We start from the raw sequence: 23,232 nt of genomic DNA, 5'->3' as shown, positions 1-23,232 counted from the left end.
AAGCAAAATGTTTAAGTTAGAGACAGGGTGCCTTAAAAGCCTTATCTGAATCTCACACCCTTTTATTTTATATATCTATCAATGTCGAGGGAGTGAGGCTATAAACTTTGAATTCATAAAGTATGGACATAAATGGACTTCTAAAAATGTCAAATATTCAGAGATGTGAGATTCATGTAGGCTAAGAATATACTTTAAGTACTCACATATTCCGGAATACTATAAACCAAAAGTAGAATTCACTTGAGGCATCACATTTTAAAACTCTGTATCCAAGGTCAGAACTTTCAGGAGAAAGTGGCAGGAGATAAAATACTTAAGTCACAGAAAAGAGAACCAATTTGATTTTTTAAAAAAACCTGACCTGATAAAATTATTTCAATTAATGCTTAAAAAAAAAAAACTCCATGTTGGCTCATTTATCAGTAATGTCTAACTTACACTCAGATAATAACACTGATAAATATAGGAGACATCAGAGATGAATTTTAAATATCCACATCTGGATGTTTTACCTCAAAATTACTAGAGAGGAAAATTGGGGCAAAAAGTTAAAAAAAAAAAAAAGATTACAGACTTGCTGCTCCCAAGGCACCCTATAATTATGTTATTAGAGCTCTCCTAAAGCAGGATTAGGAGCATAACAAACTTACTTAGAATTTCTCCATTAAGAAATGTACTCATTTGGAAATAGAATACCACTGGCCCTGTTGAAAGGAGAAAAAACAAATAAACCATATTTTCTTCTGGATGGTCTTTCTTCTGTATCTAAGTCTTGATTAACATGAAGCTAAAGGTTAGAATATTTTTCTTGAAGCTGTGTACAACAGAAATGTAAATAAAGTTAAGAATACCTGCATCTTAAACTTCTCAACTGACCACAGATCATGGTGATTTTGACCAATTTGAATTAAGGAACCCTGTTAACACTCAGGCCTTACTTCCAGTGATATCCTAAAATGTATATGCCTTTGACGTTTCTCCTCGCATCAAAATAAGCTTACAGCAGTATGCATTGCCCTGTTATTAAAAACTGTTAGTATGTCATGTGCCCAGGCTACCACCACATACACTCCTGTTATTTTTCAGAATAACACTGCACATTTGTGTCAACCAGTCTAAACTGCTTCCCATGGTGGTAAGGCTTAGGAAGCCCAGCAACTGTTTTGTTAAGCAGTCAAGTTCAGTAGGAGCCTGTTGGACAATATTCAAATGTTTAATGTTTCAAAGCCCACCTAGCTATTCTCTATCCATCCATGCATTCAGAATTTAGTAACCATCTCTTGTATTCAATGTGCTATTGCTTAGTTTTTCAATTTATATGCTTCTTTAACTTTGAAAAGGAATCACTTAATTCCAATAGTTTGTCCTGAACACTTCGTTTTGAGAAAAGGGGGTAAATTAGAACTTAGGGTCTCCACAAAGAGAACTTGTGGATTTTCTCTACTGCAACAAAATCTCAAGCCAAATTAATTTACCAAGTGGTATTTGATTTCTAAGATAAATATTTTATTTTAAAAAATTAAATATAAAAAGGCTGTGAAATTCCTAGAAATAAGTAATACCTGAGGGCCAGAATAACAAAAATTATTTGTTATTTTCTCAGCTCAAAGCAATAAGGGGTGATTTTTGTCATCCAAATTTACATTTACACCAAAATGTCTTGTGATTATAAACTCTTCCAGGTTGCGTTGAATTAACTTAAGCAGCAGGCTTTGAAGATGAATAAGATGATATAAAAACATATAGGCAGAATTTTTTCATTGTCACTGAATGCTGTAAGTGGTACAGCCTAGTGATTACAGGTGTGAGCTTTGCAGTTTAAATTCTGACCACATCATTTAACTAAGCTGTAAAACTTCAGCAAGTTATTTAATGTCTCTAAGTTTCAGTTTATGCATCTATAACTTAGGCATCTTAATACTTCTTTAACTGAATTGCTTTGAGGATTAAAGATGCATAATAGGTGCTTGGCATATAGTAAGTGCTTAATAAAAAAGTATTATACTTTGCTTTTATTAATTTCTCTCCTGATTTCCCTTCTACCCAAATTAGCTGAGAATTTTAAATAGAAGGTGTATAAATTTGTCACTTACAAACATGAATTAGTAAAATCTGACTTTAATCTTTATTGGTTATGGATTTTGTTTAACAGAGTGAATCCCAATATTTACAGGAGACTGACAAAATTTTTTAAAGAATTATATCAGCAGAAACACTGTAAGCTTGGGCTGAAAGGAACAAAGACAGTACAAAAGGAAAAGGGGCCTTTGCACCCCTAAAACTTCTGTAAGAAGAAAGCAGACTAAGAAAAACACAAAGTGGCAAACACAGGCTACCTTTCAAGAAAAAGGAAGGATGACTTAGACAGTGGAACCAAGAACCTAGTGGGCAGAGCCAAGCACCAGGGAGGTTCAGTCCTGGTAAATAGTAGGACTGAGTCCTAATCAAAACACTTCCAAACATTTGTCCAGATGGATTTCACAATTGCTTTGGACCAGTGACTCCTTTGAATTTCTCAATTTTCTCCTTTTTGAAGAGGGATGTCTGTAGCAGTTATCTTATGCCCTCTCCTGCCACTGGGGAGCAGATAACATGAATCTTTATTTCACAGGTTAATAGATTGACAGGACCTGTACTTAAGGTTCTACACCCTGAGGACAATCATCTGCAGCTGGACTACATTTAGATGATGAGATTCTGGATTCAAGCTAATGTTGGAATGGGATAAGACTTTTTAGGAGGTGCTAGGAGAAGAAGAGTGTATTTTGCATGTGGAAGGAAGAAAAATAAATTGTGGCAGAAGGACAGACTGCGGTTCCTTTAAAATAAATTGTGACCTGCCAGGCATGGTGGCACATACCTGTAGTCCCAGGTACTCAAGAGGCTGAGGCAAGAGGATCGCTTGAGCACAGGATTTTGTGTGCTATGATTGTGCCTGTTAACAGCCACTGCACACTAGCCTGGGCAACACAGTAAGACCCTGTCTCTAAATAAATAAATAGTAACCAGAGAGTGGACAATTCTCTCCTCAAAAGATGGAGCTTAATTTCTCTCCCCTGGAGCATGGGGAGAATTGAAAGACTCACTTCTAACTAATAAATATGGCAGAAGTGACAGTGTGTGATGTCTGAGATTAGTTCAAAAGCAGCCTTCAGGCTACTCTCTCTTGGATCCTTGCTCTGGGGAAGAACACTCAAGCAGCTTTAGAAAAAGTCCACGTGGCAAGGAATTGTGGTCTTTTGCCAACAGCCATGTGAGTGATCCATCTTAAGAGTGGATCCTCCAGCCCCAGTAAAGTGTTCAAATGACAGCAGCCCTGGCTAACATATTGACTGCAACTTCATCAGGGAACTTGAGCCAGAAAAACTCAGCTAACCTGCTCCTAAACTTCTGACCCACAGAAATGGTGAGATAATGAATGCTTGTTTTAAGCTGCTAAGTTCTGGAATAATTTGTTATTCAGCAGTAGATAACTAATACAAGCCACCAAGTATCATTTCCCTTGGTGAAGTTTCTGTTGCATTAAAAGAAACTTAAAAACCACTGTCCTAAAATATGGCAGGAAGACAAAATGTATACACTTTCTTAAGTCTTTCACAAAGAAGATTTTAAATTCATTAGCCAAGATCTAGGAAAAAAAAATATCAACTTTTAATTCTTTTAAATCTCAGCCTTCTTTGTTCCTCTCTGGGCAGAAAGTGATCATTCTCGTTAAGTGAATAGGGAAATGATACACTATGCGTTTGCCCTTTCACATTATTTCACTAAGTTCCCCAAGGCATAAGTAAAATTTTTACTTTTAAGCCAATTTACAAATAGAAATACTAAATACAAAAAAATTAATCTACTTAACATTATGCAACTTTAGTTTAATGGGCAAACTATAAGACAAAAACCCTGGCATAAAAATGGAGTTTAGTAATTTTTTTCATTTAGACTCTACAGTTAGAATTCAACGGTCCTCTTTGAGATACTTCCTAAAGAAATCTCAATATTTAACAACCTTAACCAAAATTGAAACTTCACTTCATTCTTTCAGTTACTAATATGCTGTTACTACAATCATTTGGTTGATAAGTTCTTTTAAAATTTTTTTTGAGACAGGGTCTTGCCCTGTCACCCAGGCTGGAGTGCCGTAGTGTGATCACGGCTCACTGTAGCCTTGATCTACTGGGCTCAAGTAATCCTTTCGACTCAGCCTCCCAAGTATGAGACTACGGACTCACACCACCACGCTCGACTAATTTTTTAATTTCTTGCAAAGACTGGGTCTCACTATGTTGCCCAGGCTCGTCTCAAACTCCTAGGCTCAAGCAATCCTCTTGCCTTGGCATCCTAAAGTGCTGGGATTACAACAGGCGTGAGCCACCATTTCCGATCTAGTAAGTTAGTTCTTAAAAATGGGGTTTCTTTGGAGAAGGAAACATATCTATTTTTGATCTAAATAATTAATGTGCTCTTCAAGTGTTTATAAACCTAGACACTCAAGTTTGCATAAAGTAAGGCACTGAACATTTACTCTCTCATGACTTTTCTGATGAATCTTTCCATTTGGAAAGAGTTTCTTTAAAGTGGGCACTATAAAAAATAAAATTACTCAATGCTTACATTGCTTTTATAACTTGTACTTCAATGCTTTCACCGAGGCCACTGGTATGGGAGAATTAATTACTTAAGAGTGGAATTCCCCTTTGGTTTTGGACTTACCTCTATGATTAAATTCACAAGGACACAACAAAAATGATTTACCAGGGCTACTTCAGGCAGCTCTATGCCTTGGTGCTAATTTTGATACCCAAGTTGGAAACCTAATATAACCCTAACCTGGGCATCATATGTCTGTGTGCTGAACTCTGTCTTAGGGGTGCATGATCTTCATCATGCAGAAAGTTACAAATTCATTTTGCATTTTAAATCAAGCTGTTCTCTCATTTTCCATCATGTATTAATACATTTCCACTAAGATTTTGTAAGAAAACAGATCATTTGAATATGATTCACAAAGTCTGACTATTGCTGTGCAGACAGGATTTTTCCACTTGAGTTGAATTTTTTTTTTTTTTTTTTTAGGTAAGGTCTCACTCTGTTGCCCAGGCTGGAATGCAGTGGCATGATCACGGCTCACAGCAGTCTTGACCTTCTGGGCTCAAGTGATCCTCCTGCCTCAGCCTCCCAGGAGTAGATGGGACTACATGTGCACACCACCACACCCAGTTAATTTTTAAATTTTTTTGTAGAGACAAGGATTCACTATGCTGCCTAGGCTGGTTTCAAACTCCTGTGCTCAAGTGAGCCTCCTGCCTCGGCTTCCCAAAGTGCTGGGATTACACTGTGAGCCACTGAGCCTGGCCTATAATCTACTTTTAATTTAGTTAATTTAGTGTGTAGTCACGTGTGCTTGCAGTAGACATATGTAATACTAGGCTGCCAAATCACAGACTTCCTCAAAAACCTTAAGTCTTCTCATGCCACTCTGAGCGTCAAGGTACCCAAAGGAAGAAGAAAATACGTGCATGGGATATACCTAACTTATTTATTGGTTCCTATGACTTGAGTCATGCCTTTCTTTTCTTTACATATTCAGTCTGAATTGGGTATCCTCCTTTAATAAAGTGCTATACCCAGAAAACACACAAAATTTAAACCACCAAACACAATACTAGGTTGTCATTAAGGCTCTGCAAATCAAATACACAAATTAGATGTCCATTTCTCCTTTGAAAGACTGGAAGCAACTGGTCACCACTCCTCCTCCACCCCTCTTTTAACCTGAGGGTAGTTTGAGAAAACTTCTACCTTATTATACTAACATTTCCAAAGAGGGAGAAAAATTACAGCCTTCTAATTCAACTCACAGGACTTTGCAGGATCTGAGTAACTCGTTTCCTCTGCTCCATCATGTTGAAGTCTTGTCGTAGATCAGGAGACATGTTCCTCTCCCTAATGTATTCTGGGTCATTTTCATTGATGCGGTCAAAATATCTCTCTTTGTGAGGCATGCTGGGAGGAGGAGGAGTGGTAATCACGCCTTGGCTGGCATCTGAGCTCATGTTTTAAGTCTGTGGATTACTCTTGTTATCTGCATTAATAAACACAAAGAAGGACATCCATGATAAATTCATTAAATTCAAAATTTACATGGGTCAAGCAGAACTTTTACATTTTGCCCTCAGAGTTAACAGGTGCACTTTAAAAAGTAGCTTCTCAAAAATATTAGAACAATTTTTTATTCATATAAAAAGATCTTAGATTATAATGCTCGATTTGTAATTGATATTTTCAGAGCTAACAGAAACTCATGGTTCAATTAAATTACGTTAATGTCATCAACTGCCTTTTTTTTTTTTTTTTTTTGAGATGGAGTCTCACTGTGTCACCCAGGCTGGAGTGCAGTGACGTGATCTTGGCTCAATGCAACCTCCACCTCCTGGGTTCAAGAGATTCTCCTGCCTCAGCCTCCCGAGTAGTTGGGACTACAGGCGCGTGCCACCATGCCCAGCTAATTTTTGTATTTTTTTAAGTAGAGATGGGGTTTCACCATATTGACCATGCTGGTCTGGAACTACTGATCTCATGGTCTGCCCACCTCGGCCTCCCAAAGCATTGGGATTATAGGCATGAGCCACTGTGCCCAGCTGGGCTGAAGTGATCCTCCTGCCTTGGCCTCCCAAAGTGATAAGATTACAGGCATGAGCCTCTGTGCCTGGCCCCCAACTCCTACTTTTAATACCACATATGCAAAGTCATACTTTCTAAGTATTTCAGAGTAATAGGAACTAGTACAAACCAGTATGAATTACATTAGGGAAAAAATAGTCTTAAACAACATTCTTTTAAAGTGCTGCAAAGAACGAATTTTTAAAAAGTAGTTATAAAACTTGTGAACACTAAGGGTTTCCCTCTGATGTAGCCTTTGGCCATGCAGAATAGAAACAAGGTATCATGTATATACAGAATTCTAGTTTTAAAAATCTTATGCAAATATTTATGCAACAACTATCCAACATGCATGTTTAAAAAACATTAGGTTCAAGACACAAATAGATGAAACACTCCAGAATGGTGGCTTTCAAACATTTTATATTGTATTCACATACAAATATATAAGATACATAACTGAGATAAATTAATGACATACTTTCCCTTACTATGTGGTATATTCCGATATTTTCTATTTTAATCTACTTCATTTTAATACACGCTAGTCAAATTGATTGATGATCCACTAATGGGTTGTGACCCACAACTTGAAAAACAATGCCCTAGAAACTCTAAGTTATGGTCAGGAAGGAAACGGAAGGGAGAAGGGGTAGGAAATGTTAATTGAGAATGAATATATGCTAGAGAGGAGAGTAAGATTGATTTTTTTGAAGAAATATTGTAGCTTATTACATATTTCTTTACATATTAATATTTTAAAAATAGTACTTACAGTAAATCACATTTTTGTATTTTTTTTTTTTAAATAGAGTTTAAGCTGGGCGTGGTGGCTCATGCTTATAATCCCAGCATGTTGGGAGATTGAGGTGGGAGGATCACTTGAGCCCAGGAGTTCCAGATCAACCTGGGCAACATAGTGAAACCCTGTCTCTACAAAATAAATTAAAAAAAAAAAAAAAAGCCAGGCGTGTTGGCATGCACCTGTAGTCCTAGCTACTCAGGAGGTGGAGGTGGGAGGATTCCTTGAGCCCAGGAGGTTGAGGCTGCAGTGAGCCATGATCACACCACTGCATTCCAGTCTGGGCGATGGAGTGAGGCAAAAAAGTTTCTGTATTCAGGCCGGCACAGTGGCTCATGCCCATAATCGCAGCACTTTGGGAGGCCAAGGGGGCAGATCACGAGGTCAGGAGTTCGAGACCAGCCTGGCCAACATAGTGAAACCCCGCCTTTACTGAAAATACAAAAAATTAGTTGGGCGTGGTGGTAGGTGCCTGTAATCACAGCTACTCGGGAGGCTGAGGCAGGAAAATTGCTTGAACCTGGGAGGCGGAGGTTGCAGTGAGCTGAGATCACGCCATTGCACTGCAGCCTGGGCAACAGAGTGAGACTCCATCTCAAAAAAAAAAAAATTCTGTATTCATGAAAATAGTTCACAATTTGCTTTAAGAAATATGGGTGTTAAAAGAACTTTAGCCAGTCACAGATAAAATGTTACAACTATCTGCTTAGTTTAGATAGAAGGCTTTGCAAATAGCACAATGTCTACCCATTTAAAACACATCAATGTCAGCACTGCAGAAAGATAAAAACATTTTCAAGCTCTCTGAGGATATTACAAAGGGCTGTTTATGATTCTATGAATTATACATCTGAAAGCACATTTTTGGGGGAGGATTTTTGAAAATAAGTACCTATAAAACAGATACTCTAAACACAGAGCCACTTAAAAATACTCCCAATCATTACATTTCTATCCAGTCCCTTAGCCATCCAACTCCTAGGATTATTATTCATAGATAAGAATAATATTTCTGCAATGTTTCAGTATATTCAACCATTTCAAAGCAGAACTACAGAAGACCAGGCTCCTCTGAATCAAATCAATTGACTGCCTTAAATTGAGGATCATTGTACAAAACAACTGGCCAGTACTCTTCAATCATGTCAAGGTCATGAAAAATAAAGACTAGGCTGGGCGCGGTAGCTTATGCCTGTAATCCCAGCACTTTGGGAGGCCAAGGCGGCCAGATCATGAGGTCAGGAGATCGAGACCATCCTGGCCAACACGGTGAAACTCTGTCTCTATTAAAAATACAAAAAAATTAGCCAGGCGTGGTGGCAGGCGCCTGTAGTCCCAGCTACTCAGGAGGCTGAGGCAGGAGAATGGTGTGAACCTGGGAGGTGGAGCTTGCAGTGAGCCGAGATCACACCACTGCACTCCAGCCTGGGTGACAGAGCGAGACTCTATCTCAAAAAAAAAAAAAAAGAAAAACAAAGACTAAGGAACTGTAAGGAACTGTTCCAGATTAAAGAAGACAAAGGAGACTAAGACGTGACAATTAAATGCAACATGTAATCTTGGATCAGATCCTAGACCAGGAAAAGGACATCAGTGAGACAATTGGTGAAATTTAAATAGAATCTGTAAATTTGATAATAGTATTTACATCAATGTTAATTTCCTGAAACTGATAATTACAACATGGTTATGGAAGATATTATCATTTAGGGAATCTGGGTAAAGGACAAACAGGAATTCTTTCACTATTTTTGCCAACTCTTTTGTAAGTCTGAAATAATTTCAAAACAAAGCACAAAAAATCCAAAATATATACATAAACATTAATCCAATATAAGACAAATCCAATCTCAACACAGTCAAAGGAAAATATTAATACCACAATTTTCAGGGCCCTCCTGAATTTTATAGTATACCATGTTCTTTCCTCACCAAAGAATTTTTAAAAGTTTGCTCACAGGTAAGATAGGATACAAAACACACTTACAAAAAGAAAACCCCCAAACAATACCTGAGCTATTAAACAAAAACAGTCATACATATGAAAGCTATATTCCCAATCCACTTAGATTAATATAAGAACCCTCAAAACTCAAAGTAACAGAGGTAGTAACATTGTATAACTGTTAATATACTTAAACAGTATCTGACATATGCTCATACCATGTATTTTGTAAAGCTGTTCATTATCAAATTAACCCAAAGTGTTCACAGACTGAGAAAAATACCCCTATGTTCAATTCTGAGCTCACCAGCACTGCTAGTGCCATTCTTGCCTATCTTACAATCTGGGTTGCTTGTATTCAGGTCCACTTGTAGAGCCCTTTCCACCTGAGTTACCTGTTAGATGCCTCTAGATGAGCTGGACTCCTGATTTGGGCTCTGTGGTACATCGTTTTTCAAAGACGGCCTCAAGAATTCTTCCATGCTTCCCTGCGATCTACTTTTTCCACTAAGAAGTAGAGACTATTTTCCTATCCCTTAAATCTGGTTTGGACTTGTGATTTGCTTTGACTAAAACAATGTGGCTGAAGTGACATTATACACTTTGAGGGTCGTGCAGCTGCCACACCATGAAGAAGCCCATAATGAAAAATGAGGAGAAAGAGGCCCAGCTGTCCCCAGTAAGCCAGGTTCCCAGCAGACCCCCCCCAGCTAACTATCGCAACATGAATGAGTCCAGGTAAAAGCAGGTAAGGTGCTACTCAGTCAACATACAGAATCATGAGAAATAATAAATTGTTAAACACACAAAGCTTTGTTTTTGTTGTTGTTTCTGTTTTTCACACAGCAACAGATAACTAAAGTGAAAACTGGTGTTACTGGTGCTGTAATAACAAAAACTGAAAACCTGGCATTAGCTCTGGGGCCTAGGCAGTGGGGAGGCTATTAGTGGAGGCTGACAAGGCAGTGAGGAGACTGCTACTGGAGACTGGAGAGAGGGTTATGTTGCATAATGAGAGCACAAACTAACAAGAATGTGTTAACTTGAAAACTAGAAAACATGCTTAACGAATGTGGAGCTCACTAAGATTTCTAGGTAGAATGCTGAAAGAGCCAACTGAGTATTGTTTTTTTCCAAAAAAATATTTTTATATAATAATCTATAATAAATAACACAGACATCCCTTATGCCCTTTTCCCCAGTTTCTCCCAATGGCAACACATTGCAAAACTATATTACAGTATCACAACCAGCACACTGACAGTAATATAGTCAAGAAGGAGATTATTTCCATCACCAGAAGTACTCCGCATGCTGCCCTTTAATAGCAATGCCCATTTCCACTCCCTCCTTAATCAGCAGCAACCACTAATCCATTCTCTATTGCTATAATTGTCATTTAAAGAATATTATACAAATGAAAATATGCAACATATAAAACCTTTGGGGATTGGCTTTTTTCACTCAATCATTTACTGAACATTTGTGGAGGCTGTCATATCAATAATTTGTTCCTTTTTACTGTTGAATGCTATTCTATGGTATGGCTGTATCATTATTTGTTTAATCATTTGTCTACTCAAAGACAACTGGTTATTTCTCGTCTTTGACTATTATAAAATTATAGCATATTTTTTCATTAACAGGAAAAAGTAGAAACAACCCAAACATCTATCAACTGACAAACACAAAGTATAGTATTTTGTCATATGGTAATCCAGAAAGTGGAATATTACATGGCAATAAAAGGAAATGGAATACTGATATGTGCTTCAGCATGGATGAACCTTGAAAACATTGTAAGTGAAAGAAGCTAGTCACCAAGGACCACATATTGTATGACTCCATTTATATGAAATGTTTAGAAAAGACAAATCTATAGAGGTAGAAAACAGATTAATGGCTGCCAGGCACTATGGGAAAATGAGGAGTGGCCGCCAATGAGATTTATTTTTGGAGTGATGAACATGTTCTAAAATTATTGTGGTGATAGTTGTACAACTCTGTGACTATATTAAAAACCACTGAATTGTATACTTTATATGGCCAAATGGCATGGTATGTGAATTATCTCCATAAAACTGTTATTTTAAAAATCCAACCTGAGAAGCTACTGACCACCTTGCAAGCTTGGGAATGGGGACTCTCTTGTAGTCCTCACAATGGGCGAGAACTCCATAAATGGGGGCTGAATTAAGTTACTTTACTATATCACAACTCCTTCCAAATAAATCTGGTTTGCATTATTTATAGGCTGGGAATAGTAAAAACAATCTTTTGAAAAGAAGTTATTACTTACAAAAAAATCTTTCCAAACTTAAAATTCTTGGCAGTTTGAATAGCTTTCTTTAGAATAAGCAAAGAGATGGCTGTACTTTCAACTACCAGACCTATTTTTCCACACTTCAAAGAATAATCAAAGATATGCCAAGACCGCAAAGCAGCATATTTGGTTAAAAAACAAAACAACAAATGCTATTTCAGTTTTTCTTGATGAAAGTTACTATGAAATTTTAAAGTTATTTGAAGTTCTAGAAAACAACTTAGACCCTACACAAACTATGACAAGCTACTATCCTTAGATCACTAGTGAAATTTTCTTCATTTTAAGTTCTAAAAGACATGAGCTGCTTTTAAATGCTAGCCAAAATTTTATATACAACTGACATGGAAATTGACAGATCTGAAAACTTGAAGCAGAAATAGATAAAAATGAAGAAAAATGGGAGAAAAAACCCAAATGAACCTGGCATTGAGCAGCACTGAGTAATACAGATGGCACTAAGTGCACAAATGGAGAAAAACTTAATTATCCCACAAAGCACTAGGCTCTTATTCCTAAAAGGCTATTGATTTTATATGAGCTTCTCTTGAAATATTTCAGACTAGATTCAATGATCACTTTTTACAGATGAGAGGAAACTATACTCAGTGGTGTTGAGTGACTTTTCTAAAGTTACATTGCTCAAATATCATATTATAAAATCATAATAATGATGTTTATTAGCATTACCATGTCATCCAGATTGCCCCATAATCAAAATTTACTCCTTCAATGAAATATAAGAAAGAAAACAGACCCATCACGCCATGTTTATGGATGTATTTTATAAATACCATCCACTGAGAGGAACAGGCTATTAAGAAGAACTAAAATTCTAGTGCTTGTAATAGACTTAATGGTCCGTTTGCCTAGCATGCACAGAAAAATAGATGTACAAGTGGGGTAGTTGTATAATGGTGGTTTATTTGACCTAAATACCAAAGGGACAAGTTTTAAGTACATCATTAAATATTAAAAAGTACTCACTAACATTTTATCAATACAGTAGTTCCCCTCCTTAACTGCAGTTTCAGTTACCTGTGGTCAACCACTGTTCAAAAATAGGCGAATATAGTACAATAAGATTTTGAGATACAGGGAAAGACCACATTCACATAACTATATATTTTTCATACATACACACACACACCCACACACCATAAAGACACTTAGTATCTTTGCCATCAGTACTTAGCAAAACATATAAATAAGATGCATAAAGACAAAGAGTATTAGGAGATGGGCAGATGAAGAAGCTCAATGAGCAGGCAGATAAATGGTATAATAAAATGTCATGGAACATTCCACACAACTTTGAGTTCCAAACAAAAAGGAACTACATGCAAGGTACGGACCACTAAATTGACTCAAGTCCATCTGAAAAGGAGACTACGTTGGCTATTGATCAGTATATAGGAAGTCTTAACTCTTTACCTGACAGATGACCACTATGACTTAATTAGAAGCTATTAACAAAATGACATTGACTGTGCTCTGGGTAATAATAAATTGTATTTAAGTTTCACTTTAATATAATTTAGCATCATATTAAAAGAGTTGAGGGCTGTATTATGAAACAAAACAAACCTCAGAAAAATATCCTGTTGGGACCTAAAGAGTTAAGACAAGTATAATACACCAACTGAAATAAGTGGTAATAGAAATTGGTCTAATATAGATACTAAATAGAAATGCATGTATACATAAACATGTCTAAACTACAAAAGCAGTAATTTAATGAAACATTTTAAAGCAATCACAGAATTCCAGGTACTATGCTCTATACAGATTTTCTCATTTAATATCCTTTACAACTCTGGCCAGGTGTGGTGGCTCACGCTGGTAATACCAGCACTTTGGGAGGCCAAGGTGGGCGGATTACTTGAGGTCAGGAGTTGGAGACCAGCCTGGCAAATATGGTGAAACCCCATCTCTACTAAAAATGTAAAAATTAGCTGGGCATGGTGGCATGTGTCTGTAATCCTAGCTACTCAGAGGCTGGGGCAAGAGAATTGCTTGAACCCAGGAGGTGGAGGTTGCAATAAGCCAAGATTGCACCACTGCACTCCAGCATGGGTGACAGAGTGAGACTCTGTCTCTCCAGCCTCCAAGAAAAATCCTTCACAACTCTATGAAAAGGCGACCAGTATCCCCAACTTTATAGATAAGAAAACTGAGGGGTTTTTTTTTTCAGTTTAAAAAATAAAATTATATTTATTTAAAGTATACAACATAATGTTTCCCCACCCCTTTTATGTTAGGTTCAGGGGGTACATGTGCAGGTCTGTTACATAGGTAAATTGTACGGCATTGGGGTTTGGAGTACAAATGATTTCATAAGCCAAGTAAGTGAGCAGAGGACCTGATAGGCAGTTTTTCCGCCTTCACCCTCCTGCTACCTTCCCCACTCAAGTAGACCGGGTGTCTATTGTTCCCACCTTTGTGTCCATGTGTATTCAATGTTTAGTTACCATTATAGGTGAGAACATGCAGTATTTGGTTTTCTGTTCCTGTGTTAATTTGCTTAGGGTAATAGCCTCCAGCTGCATCCATGTTGCTGCAAAGGACATGATTTCATGTTTTTTTTATGGTTGCATAGTATTCGAAGGTATATATGTACCAAATTTTCTTCATTCAGACCACTGTTATGGACATCTAGGTGATTGATTCCATGTCTTTGCTATTGTGGATAGTGCTGCAATGAACATATTTGCGCTTGTGTCTTTTTGGTAGAATAATTTATATTCCTTTGGGTATACACCCAGTAAATGGGATTGCTGGGTTGAATGGTAGTTCTGTTTTAAATTCTGTGAGAAACCTCCTGCTTTCCACAGTGGCTGGACAGCAGTGTATAAGTGTTCCGTTTTCTCCACAACCTCGCCAACATCTGTTATTTTCTGACATTTTAATAACAGTCATCCTGACTGGTATGAGAAGGTATCTCCCTGTGGTTTTGATCTGCACTTCTCTGATGATTAGTGATGTTGAGCATTTTTCCATATGCATGTTGACTTGTGTGTATGTCTTCTGAGAAGTGGATGTTCATGTCCTTTGAGACTATTTTCTTAAGGGGTTGTTTACCTGTTGGGTTAAGTTCCTCATAAACTCTGGATATTACACCTTTGTTGGATGCATAGTTTGTAAATATTTTCTACCATTCTGCAGGTTGTCTGTTTTCTACGTTGATAGTTTCTTTTGCCGTGCAGAAGGCTCTTTAATTATGTCATACTAGTTTATTTTTGTTTTTTTGCAATTGCTTTTGGAGACTTCATCGTGAAATCCAGGTTTTCTCCTAGAGTTTATAGTTTTAGGTCTCACATGTAAGTCTTTGATCCATCTTGAGTTGAATTTTGTATATGGTGAAAGGAAAAGGTCCAGTTTCAATCTTCTGCATATGATGGCTAGTCAATTATCCCAGCACCATTTATTGAATAGGGAATCCTTTCCCCGTTGCTTGTTATTGTTGACTTTGTCAAAGATCAGATGGTTGTATGTGTGTGGCTTTATTTCTGGGTTCTCTAACCTGTTCCATTGGTCTATGTGTCTGTTTTTGAACCAGTACCAGGCTGTTTTAGTTACTGTAGTCTTGTAGTATAAAAACTGAGGTTTAATAAATTTGTCTCAGATTACCAAAGGTTCTTCTCACAAATAAGGAAATTACTCATGGTTATAGATCTTAACAGGCATGGTGGAGTTAGCCAAAAAATATGAGATGGCTCAAAGGACTATCATTTCCTAAAGATATATCCAGCCATTAGATCACTGACTTTATTTGGGGGAGGGGGGATGAAAATATTATATGATCACAATACTCAATACCAAAGTGGAAATAGTAAATATTCTAAAAGTAGCAATAAAATTTGCACAAAGTCTTCCATGGCTATCAAACCTACACATGTGGAAACCTACCTACCTCTCTGGCCTACTGCTGGAATTGTCAGATTGATCCGTATTATTCTTAAATTCCTGAACCCCGTTTTTGTTCTTTTGAAATGACTTGTTATCTTTAAAATAAAACTAAATTCTAAACCTCAATATAAAGTCCAGGAAATAATAAATCTATAGTTGTTTAGTAAAAGTTAGGACTGAGCCTTAGTTTAAAATCCAACTTAAAGTCAAGGGAAAAAACCCCCACAACAATAACAAAATAAAATAAAATAGTAACAGCAACCCACTGCGGTACTAAATGTTCTGTACTTAATGGAAGTTGATGTCTGACTAAGCAGTCATTTAAAAAAGATAAAATATGTGTCAATTGGAGGCCACAGCTAAGAGGGTGTTTCAGTTTCAAATTTTGTTTTACAAATAAAAATATAATATGAATTAATATAAACTCTTGGCAAACATGAGTCTCCTTGTGATTGTACAATTGGAACAAAGCAGTTAGATGTAGTCATAACACACACATTGTTCATAATGTAGGTGCAGAACAGTAAGTAAAAAAATGTCAAGTAGGGGCTGGGCATGGTGGCTCACACCTGTAATCCCAGCACTTTGGAAGGCCAAGGTAGGCGGACTGCCTGAGCTTAGGAGTTCAAGACAAGCCTTGGCAACATGGTGAAACCCCACCTCTACTAAAAATACAAAACATTAGCTGGGCGTGGTGATACATGCCTATAGTCCTAGCTACTTGGGAGGCCAAAGCATGAGAATCGCTTGAACCCGGGAGGTGAAGGTTGCAGTGAGCTGAGATCACGCCACTGCACTCCAGCCTGGGCGACAGAGCAAGACTCTGTCTGCCAAAAAAAAAAAAAAAAAAAGTCAAGTAGGTGCTTGTTATATCAACATAATCATTCAACAGGGTGATTCAAAGACTAAAGACAGAGTTGGACAATGCTGAGGATCAGTCTAACCTCTGTGTCACTAACGACGAAGGATATTTTATTGATCTACGTTACCTGTTACAAGGAACAGTGAGGCAAACAGATTTCTGTACTTGAGGTGATGGTGGGGGTTGGGAGAGGAAGAGAGGCAGTTACTTGCTTAGACATTGGTAGAGGTGAAAATAACATTCACTGGTAACTTGAAATAAAAATCTTTATTATAATTAGGTCAAATTTACCAATTACAATGGCCATACAAGGGGCAGGGTTACAAAGTTGAAAACATGTACAGAAAGTTCAGAGAAAGTATTTCTTCAAGTCCAAACTCAATCATTAATCATTATCTAACATTAACTTGAATTGTTCCCAACATAAACCATTTGGAAAAGTAAATATGAAACTGATTTTATATATATATCATATATATTATAAACATATATCATATATACATATGTGTGTGTACATATATATATATTCCTATGAAATGAGTAAAACAATCAACCACAGAAAGGCAATCCCTCAAGTATCTTACAGAACCCAAAGACACACAGCCTTGGTGAGCCTTTACTCTCCTTTCTACAAAATATAATGAACATTCTATATATATTCCCTTAGTCACCATTTGTCTTCAATGTGGAGTTTTGGAAAATGGTTGAGAAACAAAAGAAGGGTTCCCCACCCCACATCCCAACCCCTTCCTTAGAGAAAGCTGACAGAGACTAGTGGATTGATTACTTAGATGTGCGTCTCAGACATTTAGTTTCTGTTGAGTTCCCTGCTATTAGAGAAAATTTTAAAATTGAGATCCAGGAAACTATCCAGAGCTTGACAGCTCATGATAAATGAGAGGTTTTAAAAAGAGGAATCACTAGAAATTATTATTTTTAAATAAACATTCATTGCTCTCAATTTCAGGAGATACCGTAAGTCTTTGATTCTTATTTGGTAGTCTTTCTAGGCAAAAAGCTTTTTTTTTATTTTTATTTTTTAAAGAAACATCAACTCTCACATACTTCATACTTTACTGCATACCCACTCTACAAATCTCAGTGGACCTTTTCTCAAATGAATATTCAAATACAAATAATATAGGAAATTTAACTTCCCCAAATTCCAATCTTACATCTACCTATTTCACAAGCTGAAATTAGATTTTAACTGAAGAAATGCAAATAATCCAACAAAGCTTATTATTAAAAATGAGCTGAGTCTGCAAAATAAATATGCATTGAAAAGGCTAGTCTAGGAAACTGATTTGTTACCATGGACTATGTTTCTGTGTTCCATTCCTAATACAGTCATTGTGACGTGCCACGGTGGGGGAAAGGGAGGGATGGAAAGGCACAAAAAAATGAGACAAAGTTCCTTATTTTAAAAATTGGAGGAAAATACACAAAAAAATATTAAAGAACCACAGGGTATAATTACCAAGAGTTCATTTTGATCTACTATTTCAGATATTCAAGCTAAAGACTTTTGGCTTTCATAACTTATAAAAAATACAGCTGCAAAAGTCAATCCAAAAACTGTAGGCAACTCAACACACTGCAACTGCAAAGCAGTTGGATTTGAAGGAGGAGTTTCTGCCTTCCGATTTTGGCTGCTAAGGAACATTTCAAGATCATCACAACTTGATCTGTTTTGTTTATGAAACGCCTAATATTGTGCCATGAAAATGCATCTTATTAAGCACAGATAATGGTACTTGAAAACTACTTGCAAAAATACTTTTTGGTTATAACCTGCCACTTTAGCAATTGGTTGATGGTTTTAAGTGCAAGTTCACAAAAAGAGATTTTTATCAATTTCAGAAATCTGTTTCTCAAAACGGATTTGTCAAAAACTTGCTTTTTCAAATGTATCATCTTTTAGATCTAAAGATTGACATTCAGCCATACTACTGTACTATAGTGGTTGAATAGTGTCTTCCCTAAAAATTCATGTCCCCAGAAGCTCACAGTGTGGCCTATTTGAAAATAGGGTTTGTAGATCAAATTAAGTTGAGATCATACTGGATTAGGGTGAGTCCTAAATCCAACGACTAGTATCTTTATAAGAGGAAAGTGAGAGAGATTTGGACACCAAGTAACAAAAAAGACACAAAGGAAGAAAAAAGCCCTATGATGACAGGGCAGAGATTGAACCGATGCAGCACAAGCCTAGGGACCAAGCTGGGAACCATGAGAAGCCCGGGGAGGGGCATGGAATAGATTTTTCCCTCAGACCCCTCAGAATGAACCAATCCTGCCAACACCTTGATTTTGGACCTCTGGCCTCCGGAACTGTAAGAGAATAGATCTGTTGTTTTTAGCCACCGGGATTGCAGTACTTTGTTATATAGCAGTTCTAGGAAACTAACACATATACTGTTCCAAAGGAATTTCCATCCTAATATCTATTTTTGAAAGCATTTTACCATCAACAGTGTGAATAGATAGCACACCTTTGCAGAATCAATGTCAGCTCTTCAGAAATAACAAATCGTCAAAACACTAACCTGAACAAGACATCTGATATACATAAGTACAATGCAACATTCTGGTTTTCCACAATGGCATGACCTTTGCCAACTACCCTGTCAGTCAGTGTTTCCAAGGAAATCTAAAGCAAGAAAAATATGAACATTCTTGTCACATCAGATGAACAAAAATTTCTTTGTAAAACTGAAGATTCATAATGAAGGCCAACCACAAATTAAAGATGCAGCAGGCTCTACTGCTTCCATCATAGCGGAAACACTGTTAAAGCAGTTACTAAATCATAAAATACTACGGAATATATTTTCACTTAAGCAAGGATGGACTTAAAAGCCACTTGCTCAGGACCAGGCATGGTAGCTCATGCCTGTAATCCCAGCAATTTGAGGGGCCAAGGCAGGTGGATCACTTGAGATCAGGAATTCAAGACCAGCCTGGCCAACATCTCTACTAAACTCCATCCCTACTAAAAATACAAAAATTAGCTGGGCGTGGTGGTGGGCGCCTGTAATCCCAGCTACTTGGAAAGCTGAGGCAGGAGAATTGCTGGAACCTGGGAGGCAGAGGTTGCAGTGAGCTGAGATGGCGTGCCACTGCACTCCAGCCTGGGTGACAAAGCCAGACTCAGTCTCAAAAAAATAAAAAAAAAATAAAAGCCACTTTCTAAAGCGAGTGGGTTTCTTGCCATGTGTACATACATGCTGCATTTCTGCTATTCTGCTCACATTGGAGACCACTGAACCCACATCTTGCAGGTTCATGCCAGGCTCTGGGACCCTTGGATTATGGGAAACCCTAAGAAACTAGTTTAGTATCTCTCAGCATCAAGTCAGTCTTGCAGTTGTTCCCACTCTGATGTTCTGACACTGATGTAAAGAACTACCTGAGACTAAGTAATCTATAAAGAGGTTTAATTTACCACAGTTCCACAGGCTATACAGGAAGCTTGGCTGGAGAGGCCTCAGGAAACCTACAATCATGGCAGAAAGGTGAAGGGGAAGCAAGCACATCTTTGCATGGTGGCAGGAGAGCAAGCGAGCGAAGGAGGAAGTGCTACATACACACTTTTAACCAACAAGATCTTGTGAGAACTCTATCATGAGATAGCACTAGGGGGATGGTACTAAACCATTAGAAACCACCCTCATGATCCAATCAACTCCTGCCAGACCCCACCTCCAATACTTGGAATCACAATTTAATATGAGATTTGCGTGGGGACACAAATCCAAACCATATCAAGCCTGTTTTTTGTTGTTGTTGTTTTGAGGATGGAGTCTCACTCTGTCCCCAGGCTGGAGTGCAGTGGCATGATCTCGGCTCACTGCAACCTCTACCTTCTGGGTTCAAGTGATTCTCCTGCCTCAGCCTCCTGAGTAGCTGGGACTACAGGCACGTGCCACCATGCCCAGGTAATTTTTGTATATTTAGTAGAGATGAGGTTTCACCCTGTTGGCCAGGATGGTCTTGACCTCCTGACCTCATGATCCGCCCACCTCGGCCTCCCAAAGTGCTAGAATTACAGGCGTGAGATACTGCGCCCAGCCTTTTTCTTTTTCTTTCTGTTTCTGAGACGGAGTTTCGCTCTTTGTCACCCAGGCTGGAGTGCGATGGCATGATCTCGGCTTACTGCAACTTCCGCCTCCCAGGTTCAAGCGATTCTCGTGCTTCAGCCGTCCAAGTAGCTGGGATTACAGGCTTGTACCACCACGCCCAGCTAATTTTGTATTTTTAGTAGAGAAGGGGTTTCTCCATGTTGGTCAGGCTGGACTCGAACTCCCGACCTCAGGTGATCTGCCTGCCTCGGCCTCCCAAAGTGCTGGGATTACAGGCGTGAGCCACCATGCCCGGCCCAAGTCTGTTTCTTAATCATTAAATTCTGAGCCACTCCACTCACTCTCAAGCAGCCTAATTCACTTTCTTGTTTCTCTATCAGGTAACTTCAAATACTTTTACAATTGAAGGTCTATGCCTGAACCCTAGGGCCCACGTCTCAGTCTTAGACCCTTCTATCATTTGCCACTGTTCCCTGAGGTCACCTGATAGCTCACATCTTTGCATATGGCAGTAGATCTCCGATGCCATGCAGATCTCCCTGGTACTGATTGGATCTGGACTTCTACCAATTACCACCCTTTGCCAAAAATTCCCTGTCCCTAAACTCTGCCTATGTGCTACAGTTTGACACCTACTGAATCTCACTCATATTGACTGTTCACATACCTGGACTCATTCCTATTGCCCATTTCTGGGAATCTGCTCCTGACTGTTTACCTGGATTCCAGTCAGTAAAATCCCCTGGGTATTCACCAAATTAAATCTTCAACAAAGTGTAATCTAAACTATAATTATGAACTTTAGAAAAAGTTCTCTAGATCCTGGTCTCCAGATTATATATGCCCCATTATTTCATTTTGAACTGTGTTGGACATTAACTGCCATGCAAGCTTGTGGGTGCATTTAAAGAGGTCTAGGCTCTTTCCTGATAAAACAGGATTTAGCTTTGAAAAGTAGGCCTAGTTGATATGAACAAGAATTCTAAAAATGTATGTATACATTGATATTTTATGACACCAAACTAATTCATATCAAAAAATGGGGGGGAATTAAAATTATTTCTAACATGAAGAAACTGGAAATAATGAGAAGATAAAGAGACAACAACCCAAGTCTCCAGTCCACTGCTGGAAACTGAACTCTCAATAAAAAGTGAGAAAATCTGGAAAAAGACCTGAGAAGTCTAATATCAAATTCAGGAAAAAGAGAAAACATTAAACTAATTAACTATTTAATTTATGGAGGAAAGTTTATCAAAAACAACAGAAATGCAGACTTTAAAACAACAAAGAATAACTTTCATACGTTTGTTAGGATTGTAGAGAAACAACATTGCTTTGTAAATATAAATAAGAACTCTTCCAACAAGAGGAGTTGTTTTCCCTGATATTACCTAATGAGAGCCAAAAGAGGAATACTATCCTTAGAATTTAAAGATGTTAGAGCTTAAAAGGATGTAAGATATTATCAAATCTTATTCTACCTCATTTCTCATATGGAGAAAGGTAGAACAGATCCTGAGAGAGAGAGTGACGTGTCCCAAGTCCCTCAATTTATCTTACCCAATACTTTTCACTTTATCTACATTAGAATGAGATACATAAGACTGTAGACCATATGATCTGTTCATATAAGAAAAATTTAAAACATGAACTGCACTTAGAAATTTATTTAACTAAAGATTTTGGTAAGCACAATTTTAAGCACATTTCAGGTGCTACTGTACATTAAATAAACTGTTAACTTTTATCTCTAAAAAGCCAGGTAATGCCTCATGTTACAATTTCTTGATTTTAAAGGGTTTCTAGGTATGTGCTCATGATTAATATACAAAACATTTTGTTGGTGTTATTTCCATAAGAATCTAAAACAATTTTTACTATTTTAAAATAATGAGAGTGCTTTTCTTTCAAGCTTTCATGGTAATTCACCAGGAAGAGTAAACTTCATGACTCAGCTTTTTGTGCCCACTCACACATGCCTAAAAGGTCCACTGAAATTGCTTGCTATATTTTAAATTCCAGCTTGAAGTAGGACTCTTGTTTTTCTGAGGCTCACAAAGACTAGACTCACAGCTTAGTTCTATAGTGTCTATTTAGCTGTACTTAAAGCCTACATCAAGTACTTTATTGTCAAATAAAAAGCTATCTATGAGGAGCTTAGTAACTTAAGTAGCTCTCCAGAGTTTGGTAAATATTTTGTGTCTACTTTTGATCTCTATTGTCTAGGAAAGGTTCTGTCAAGTTGTAAAGTGCTAGAAAGTGTTATTTTAAACCTTTAAAAGGTAGTAAGAGTACTACAACCCTGGGATCCTTGGTTGCAACAAAGAAGCACAAAGCCAACTACTATAGTTTTCCAAAAACACCATTTCCTCAGTCCCTGCCCCAAGGAAATAAAAAAGCATCCAGGAAGTCCCATCTTTAAAAAATACTTAGCTATCAGCCTGGGGCTTCTAAAATTCAGGCCCTGAAAAAACGATAGGAAAGACTTCAAAGTCCATCCCTATTAATTAGGTTTAGAGGGAAATGACTCTTCCTAAAAAAAAGCCATCCCCGATTGTTGCTTTGCTCACCATACTTCTTCTTCTATTTTCTTTTTTTTTTTGAGACGGAGTCTTGCTCTGTCACCCAGGCTGGAGTGCAGTG

The 23,232-nt window shown here is 37.7% G+C and overlaps 1 protein-coding gene across 30 annotated transcripts in view, besides 1 other annotated feature; it reads right to left on the bottom strand.

The window, feature by feature from the left end:
- The window catches only part of ADD3 (adducin 3), a 139,193-nt gene that overhangs the window by 28,859 nt on the left and 87,102 nt on the right, over window positions 1-23,232 (bottom strand). For 29 of the 30 annotated variants that reach the window (NM_001320591.2, XM_047424588.1, XM_047424590.1 and 26 more), the window contains one exon: window positions 5,859-6,082. In NM_001320591.2, the coding sequence (NP_001307520.1) occupies window positions 5,859-6,053 (195 nt within the window). In that variant the 5' untranslated portion in view covers window positions 6,054-6,082. Of the gene's footprint in view, window positions 1-653; window positions 708-5,858; window positions 6,083-23,232 lie in introns of all 30 variants that reach the window. The other variant, NM_001320594.2, reaches the window with a different exon arrangement.
- Window positions 19,798-19,947: an enhancer, noted in NCBI's record as "active region_4004". NCBI's record gives its function as "activates an Ori minimal core promoter by ATAC-STARR-seq in GM12878 lymphoblastoid cells {active_cell/tissue: GM12878}" and the evidence as "EXISTENCE:reporter gene assay evidence [ECO:0000049][PMID:35858748]".

Source organism: Homo sapiens, chromosome 10, assembly GCF_000001405.40.
Source record: "Homo sapiens chromosome 10, GRCh38.p14 Primary Assembly".
Classification (NCBI taxonomy): domain Eukaryota; kingdom Metazoa; phylum Chordata; class Mammalia; order Primates; family Hominidae; genus Homo; species Homo sapiens.
This window is presented reverse-complemented; position numbering and strand designations above follow the sequence as displayed.